Source organism: Homo sapiens, chromosome 2 (genome assembly GCF_000001405.40).
Source record: "Homo sapiens chromosome 2, GRCh38.p14 Primary Assembly".
NCBI lineage: Eukaryota > Metazoa > Chordata > Mammalia > Primates > Hominidae > Homo > Homo sapiens.
In genome coordinates this window covers 17,187,869-17,196,278 of record NC_000002.12, presented here as the reverse complement: position 1 = coordinate 17,196,278, position 8,410 = coordinate 17,187,869, and positions in this window count along the sequence as shown.

Genomic DNA, 8,410 nt, shown 5'->3' with positions numbered 1-8,410 from the left:
GCTTATTAGATTTCTAGTGATAAAGAACTTGAGACGAAACCCAGTAAATGCCCATTTTTGTTGCATTGCCTCATAAATTGCATATATTCTCACTCCAGAGAGTATATGCAGTTTTATTATCAAAATTTTATTTGTAATATACTTTTCTAGGTTAAGGAGCTCCCCACCAGGGATCTTAGTTAGCTGGTTAGATATACAGATATAGATAAATTTATAGACATTTAGGGCAAATGAACCTGATTTGACCTTTAGATTCCATATTCTTACACTAAAATTAACAGCAGATGAGAAAGTCCCACTACAGAAAGCGTTTTAGCTGATCTGATTTTTTTGTCCATCTGTCCAGAGTATTAAAAATAATGTTTATCTAATTCTTCCAACTGCATGTTTTCTTTCTTTCTCATAATGTGGCATAATGTCCTGTATTTCCAGACATCACAAAGGTAGTTTCTTTCTGGCCAGTTTGAATGGTGGTTGAGTTCAGGTCTTTAAATGGGTACATACTCAGGGATGCTCAGCATGTTTAAATGCATTAGAATATTTTCTTATGGTGAGCAGAATTAGTTTCAGATTTGCTGGGTATTATAAAATTAGTTTATGTGACTAAACTTTGTACATACCTTGTGGAATGTCCTCAAACACAGAAAGGATAAAAATTATTTTCTAGTTATCATGGTGTGGGTTGTTTTATCAAGTACTATTTTACACACGCACCCAAATACTTGCCTTATACCTAAAGTGAATGAGACTCTTTGAAGAATACTGAAATACTAAGAAGGAAAGACAGTGCCTGCCTTCAAGAAGATATTACTTGATTAAGAAAACAACCAAGTACTTAAATTTACTTCACTTTCAGGCAGTGTTGTAGGTGCTGTAAGGCTAGAGAAGACAATCTATGAGGCTGAAAGGTGGCAGGTTCGTAGGAATCAGTCACAGAAATCTGGACCAATGTCATGGAGTTCAGGGGACCAAAACACTTCTCACTGAGAGCACTGGAGAAGAATTCATAGAGGAGGAGGTATGTTCATGAGCTTTCAAGACTGGATGGAATTTCTGTGGTTAAAGATGTGAGAAAGGCCATTCGAGGTGAGAGGGAATGCCATGAGCAAAGACATAGAGACAGAAGCATGTTCAGGGAGTGTTGAAAAATCCACTTTCGCTAGAGGAAAGGAAGTAGAAAATATAGGAAAGGTAGATTAGGATCAGATCACGCTGTAATACGAATGATGGATTACTTTTAAACAGAAGGAATCATCAGAGAGTTTTGAACAAAGTAGTTATATGATTACAGGTGTGCTGGGAAGGTTAATCTTTGTTCATACTTAAGTACGCACTAACATTTTGACAATCTAAGGTATTTGGCTTTTGTTACAGTAGTGGCTTAGCAACAATGTGGAGAAAAATATCAAATTGCAAGCAACAGTAACTTTACTCTTACTAATATTGTTTCTAATAGTCATAATTTAAGGAATATGTCAGCGTAATTCTGATATGGCTTAGAATCTACATTTATGTAAAAGTGTTGTGTCCGGAATTGGTGGGTTCTTGGTCTCACTGACTTCAAGAATGAAGCCGCGGACCCTCGTGGTGAGTGTTACAGCTCTTAAGGTGGCGCGTCTGAAGTTTGTTCCTTCTGATATTCGGATGTGTTCAGAGTTTCTTCCTTCTGGTGGGTTCTTGGTCTCCCTGGCTCAGGAGTGAAGCTGCGGACCTTCGCGGTGAGTGTTACAGCTCTTAAGGCGGCGCCTCTGGAGTTGTTCGTTCCTCCCGGTGGGTTCGTGGTTTCCCTGGTTTCAGGAGTGAAGCTGTAGACTTTCGCAGTGAGTGCTACAGCTTATAAAAGCAGTGTGGACCCAAAGAGTGAGCAGCAGCAGGATTTATTGCAAAGAGCGAGAGAACTAAGCTTCCACAGCGTGGAAGGAGACCCCAGCAGGTTGCCACTGCTAGCTCGGGCAGCCTGCTTTTATTCTCTTATCTGACACCACCCACATCCTGCTGATTGGTGGAGCCCAGCGGTCTGTTTTGACAGGGCGCTGACTGGTGCGTTTACAATCCCTGAGCTAGGCACAAAGGTTCTGCACGTCCCCACCAGATTAGCTAAATACAGAGTGTAGACACAAAGGTTCTCCAAATCCCCACCAGAGTAGCTAGATACAGTGTCGACTGGTGCATTCACAAACTCTGAGCTAACACAGGGTGCTGATTGGTGTGTTTACAAACCTTGAGCTAGATACAGAGTGCCGATTGGTGTATTTACAATCCCTTAGCTAGACATAAAGGTTCTCCACGTCCCCACCAGACTCAGGAGCCCAGCTGGCTTCACCCAGTGGATCCGGCACAGGGGCTGCAGGTGGAGCTGCCTGCCAGTCCCGCGCAGTGTGCCGGCACTCCTCAGCCCTTGGGTGGTCGATGGGACTGGGAGCCGTGGAGCAGGGGGCAGCGCTCGTCTGGGAGGCTCGGGCCGCACAGGAGCCCACGGAGGGTGGGGGAGGCTCAGGCATGGCGGGCTGCAGGTCCCGAGACCTGCCCCGTGGGAAGGCAGCTAAGGCACGGCGAGAAATTGAGCACAGCAGCTGCTGGCCCAGGTGCTAAGCTCCTCATTGCCCTGAGCCGGTGGGGCCTGTCGGCCGCTCTGAGTGCGCGGTCCGCCAAGTCCACGCCCACCCGGAACTCGCGCTGGCCCGCAAGCACCGCGCGCAGCCCCTGTTCCTGCCTGCGCCTCTCCCTCCACACCTCCCCGCAAGCTGAGGGAGCTGGCTCCGGCCTTGGCCAGACCAGAAAGGGGCTCACACAGTGCAGCGGCGGGCTGAAGGGTTCCTCAAGTGCCGCCAAAGTGGGAGCCCAGGCAGAGGAGGCGCCGAGAGCTAGCGAGGGCTTTGAGGACTGCCAGCACGCTGTCACCTCTCAGTGTCTTAGTGAGTAAATTTTTACTTTATTGAAATTGTGTTAGAGACTTTTAATAATGTGCTTTTATGATGCATTTAGACTATGACTTGTTTTGAAGAATTTTATATTAGTAATTAAGAGCATGATTATACAACCTGTAATCAATCTTCTGGATAATTTCTCCAGGCGTCATCAATAAGGGAATTGTAATAGAAACAGTATTCATTTTGTAAAAATCAGTTATTTCTTTTCTTGATTATCGTGGTTTTACTGTAAAATGGACATGCTCTTTCAGTATCTCTCTTTTCCGTTTTTGTTTTGGTTATTTTTAATTTTACGCATATTACATCATTTTGAAAACCAGCAGTTCTATGAATGAACATTTTTTATTTGTGTTGATAAGGGATCTTTTTTCTGAGACCAATTCATTTACTTCTCAGAGTAAATGAAATTTGTGACTGCAGTTTCAAATTGAAGGAAGAACACATTTATTTAATGAATATATGAATAATTAAACTTTGAGGAAAGCATGTTTACAAATGCATTTATTTGTGCCTGGACATCCACTTTAGGTAGGGAGGTATGTTTAACAAGTGAAATTACTCACAAACTCCATTGTGAACAATATTTTCTAATGACCTATGCATTGATTTATTTTTCTGTGGGGAGGGTAGCAAGGCTGGTGGAAGACATACACATGAAATCTTACGATAAAATTAGCCTCAACCTTTATTATCAAGTATCTATATCAATAAGGTAGGTTTGCACTGAGAGCCCCTGTCAGAATTCTAGACAAAGCACTGGCGCTGCAGTTTAAACCATGTAACCTGGGCACTATGTCACATTATGTTGATAATTGATTCCAACTGCAGAAAAGGAGTCTCAGGCTGCCTCTTGAATCAAATCTCAAAGTGTATGCTGAGAAGCCAAGATTCAGGCAGCCACTTCTTTCCAACAAATATTTATGGGGTGCCTACAATATGTTTGCCCCTGACCCCACTCACATGCCTATTTTACCTGCCTTGAGGGGAAAAATGGAAGAAATAAAAACCATGGATGATTGAAAGTGTGTGTTCCCATATCCAATAGGGATAATAGGGACATGGGTCTCCTTTGAGGAGAACAGTAAAGAGACAGTGTGTATAACTGTCTAGGGCATCATCTTTTTATTTATTTATTTATTTTGAGACCGAATCTCACTCTGTCACCCAGGCTGGAGTGCAATGGTGCAATCTCAGCTCACTGCAACATCCGCCTCTCGGGTTCAAGCGATTCTCCTGCCTCAGACTCCCAAGTAGCTGGGATTACAGGCCCCTGCCACCATGCCCAGCTAATTTTTGTAGTTTTAATAGAGACGGGGTTTTACCATGTTGGTCAGGCTGGTCTCGAACTCCTGACCTCAGGTGATCCGCCTGCCTCAGACTCCCAAAGTGCTCTGATTACACGTGTGAGCCACCGCGCCTGGTGTAGAGTGTCATCTTTTACAACAAAGCAATTTGCTGATCTTGACACAAAATCATCTGAGGAGACACAAGAGTAAAACCAAAAATAAATAAATAAATAAATAAATAAAAATAAATGCTGACTTGTCTACGCCTTGATCCTGTTTACATTACCATCATTTGATCTAAGCCCTTATAATAGAAGCGTATACGTTCTTTCATAGCTTGGAACTACTCTTCCTGATCCATAATATATGCCTCCAGAAGTTTATCAATAGCCATATATATAATAAAACTGCCCCTTTGTCTAGAGTGTATATAGAAACTACTTCTATGTCCAGAGTATATATGGTTCCTATATAGAATTAGGAGACACTACTAAAATTCATCTAAACCAATTGGAAATAGGGACTCAAAGATTCTAGTGCATCATCTGATGTAATCTCTTAAATCTCTGGAACTGTGGTGCATTCATCTTCCTCCATGCAGATTAAATAGCAGAGAAAGCTGCAGAGAGAGATAAGAATGAAGCAGCCCCGTTTTGAGCCCTAGCTGCACACCTGCTCATGGTTCAGTGAAGCATGCCTGTATCCTGCGAGTTCTAACTAATATATCCCTTTAACGTCAGCTTAAGAGCTAGATCCCATTCGAAAAGCAGATCTCTGTAAGCATGGGAGGTGGAGAGGAAAGGCAGCATATGTCATTATTTGTGATATAGACTCATCCAATCTTAAAACTGCAATAATTTTTAAAGAGCTTCTACTTTAGCCTCATTTTATTGGCAGTGATATTGAATCTCAAAAAGAGGAAACACATTTTACCAGGTTAGACCATTAACAAGTCATTGTCAGTGTCAGAATTTGGATCTTATTTCAACAAGTTCCCACATAAATGCCATGTGAGGGAAACGTCTGAAAATGATACTGTGATATATGCACCTTTACAAGCAGTTCCATGACAAGTATCCCACATCAAATTACGTGCATTCGTGTATTATGCCTTATTCAAATAGATTTTTAACATTTTCTATCTCGTCTTTCTACAAAATGTGTATTAATGAAAAGCATTATTTCCATTTGTGTGGGTTGCTTATATAACTTTTGTTTCCCTTTAACTTACTCTGTGCATAGGCGATTCATTGTCTCTTCCACTTCCTTGTACAAGCTGCTTAATCAGTTGTTTTGCTCTGAGCTCAGCAGGGCCTTCCCAATTGTTCCGCAATCTATCTCTTATCCCTGTGGTGAAAATTTTATTCTTCCCCAAGGTCCTTACGCAACCCCTTTCTTGGTGATTACAAACACACTGTTTTCTTTACACAAACAAAGTGAAGGCTTTAAGGGATAAACTCCACCCACTTCTCTCACATTTCACATTTAAAAATGTCTTCCATTTTCTCTTTACTCAATGTCACTTGAGTCTTTTTTTTTTCTTCTAATGCTAAAATGTATCACTGTGGTCTCCTTCCCATGGATTCCTACATCGTCCTTGGTTATGATGCATTGATCAGCTCCTTCCCAGGAACTTCACCCTTTCTCCTATCACTGGTTGCTATCTCCACATAGAAAAATGGTTACGATTCTCCATTCTATGAAAATCTGCCTTAAATTTTCCCTTAAGTTGTACCATTAAATTGACATGCTTTCTCCATTTCACACCTACATTGACTGCTCTTAATTCCCTTGTGTGCAAACATTTCTTAAATGTTTCTGCTTGGTGTCTGCCTCAACGGATCTGCTCAATCATCTCTTAAATATCCATCAGAATTTTCTGATTGATGAATCTAGCAGCCTCTTTATTATGTTCCCTTTTTAAACTCTGTGAAACTTTTGAAATTATTGACCATCCCGTTCTTCTTTCCTCCAATAGCTTAGTGACATGGGCCTTTCCTGGCGGTCTCTGATCATGTCTTCTTACGAGCTAGTCTACTTAACTAGCACTCTGGTTTCTACACATCGATTAAGTAGGTATTTGCTAGGTTACAACCTTGACTTTTTCTCTTACCCACATGAATCAGACTAGTGTAAAACTTGAGTACGAGCTTAGGAGTAGGCTATACTGGCCATTTATTAAGTGGTGTGTCCTTTAGTAGTTACATAATGTTTCTATGACTTAGCATCCATGATCGGTAAAATGAAGTGAAAAATAATTGCTTACATTTTAGTGAACACTTACGATGTGCCAGGTACTGTTATAAACACTTTATATGCATTAAGTTACTTCTTATCACAGCTTTAGGGGGTTATTATCAGAACACTGAAACACAGAGAAGTTAAATAATTTGCCCCAAATGACATGGATATTAAACAGCTGAGCCAGGATTTGAATATAGGTAGTTCAGCCCCCGTGTTAATTGCTACATTATGCTGCTTCTCAATAATGATATTCTTTACTCATAGGATTCATATGCAATTCAAATAAAATAATGCATGTAAAGCTCTTAGTGTAGTTACTGCATAAATTAAATGCCTAGATAATGTTAACTCAATGTTTCTTTTATTGTTAATTTTTCTTTTGGTGGGTTACATTGGTGAGTTATACTTACTTTTCTGCAGTTGAATATCAAAATATATATCTCTAGCTCGTATTTATATCCTTAGGTACCTAATTATATATTTTTATCCAGTTGTAAGCTATGGACCTAAAATCAGCTTATATAAAATTGAACAGGTCCTGCTGCTTCCGTTTTTTGAACTTATGATCCTTATCTTAGTAAATGATACTGTCTGTCTTTCTAGGCCCCTGAGCTTAAACTTTGGAGTCATCATTACATGTCTATTCTTCCTCTCATTTTCATAATTAATACACAACCAGTACCTGCTTATAACTCTGAAATATTTTGGAATTTTTCCATTTTCTACTAGTGCCGGTTTATCTAATTAAGTGCTCATCATATGTTAGCTAGATTATTTCAATATCTCCCTAAAGTATCCTTGTCTTTATCATATCTTCTGTTTGACAACCAGATTAATTTCAAATCTTTGGGTAGTAAACATTTCTTGAACTGTGGGTCTAAACCAAATCCCAGTGGGAGCCTAATGTGAAGAGAGACACAAAACAGAACTGTTCAAACTGACTTGGGGATCTGGAATTAGAATTGAAGCCAAGGGCTCTCTTATTTTCCTCTGTTCTTGTCTCCTCTGAATTGATTTTTGAGTGGTATCTGTAAAGCTCAGAGGGCATGATTTGAAAAGTTTTCTTCTAAAACCAGCTTAATAATGTTCTTCTGCATAAACCATTTGTTAATATGGCACTTGAAGGCCTTTACAGATTTTCTCAAAGTACATTTTCAGTCTTATCCGCTGCCACTTGCATCTCATGCAGCCACATTTGCTGTTTATGATTCTTTGACGATCCCATTCACTCTCACATTTTCGTTCCTTTGATTATCGGTTTGGACTTCCTGAAATTCTCTCTTCATTTTCTGCCTCATTTAGTTTTATTTATTCCTAAAGATTTGCCTTAAATGTCACCTCATTTATATAATATTTACAGAATATCACAATCAAAACTAAATTCTCTCCTTTGTACTCTATGAATTTGGATTTGACATATTAAAGATTGAATCACTATCTTTTTATTAGAATTCCCTGTGTATATGTCTATTCCTCCTGCTCCTGAGTTCTGGTGGCTCAGAGAATGTGTTGTTTGTTGTATCCTCAATAAGAACCTGATATCCAAGGGCTTGGACTATAGCTGTTTAATGAACTGAAATAACTGGACCCATTTACCATCAACATTTGGGCATCAAGGATAGGTACTGCTTGCTTTCTTTGCCTTTTTGACTTGTTACGTTTGAAGCCTGACAGATCTTGTTTCAAATTTCTCTTTCTCAGATATCAATGGTAGTGTTCCTACTCCATATATTCTGATACATGATTTCTTTTTTATCTAAGCTCTTTTTGTTTTCATTACTGGTTTTTGCTCTTATATCCATCCATGTGTCCATCCATCCATCCATCCATCCATCCATCCTTCCTTCCATCCATCCTTCCATCCTCAGTTTATTCATTCTTAGAAGACTTACACCACCCATTTTTCTTAGGTAGTCTTCCCTGATCACACATAGGGGTCTATTCATCCTG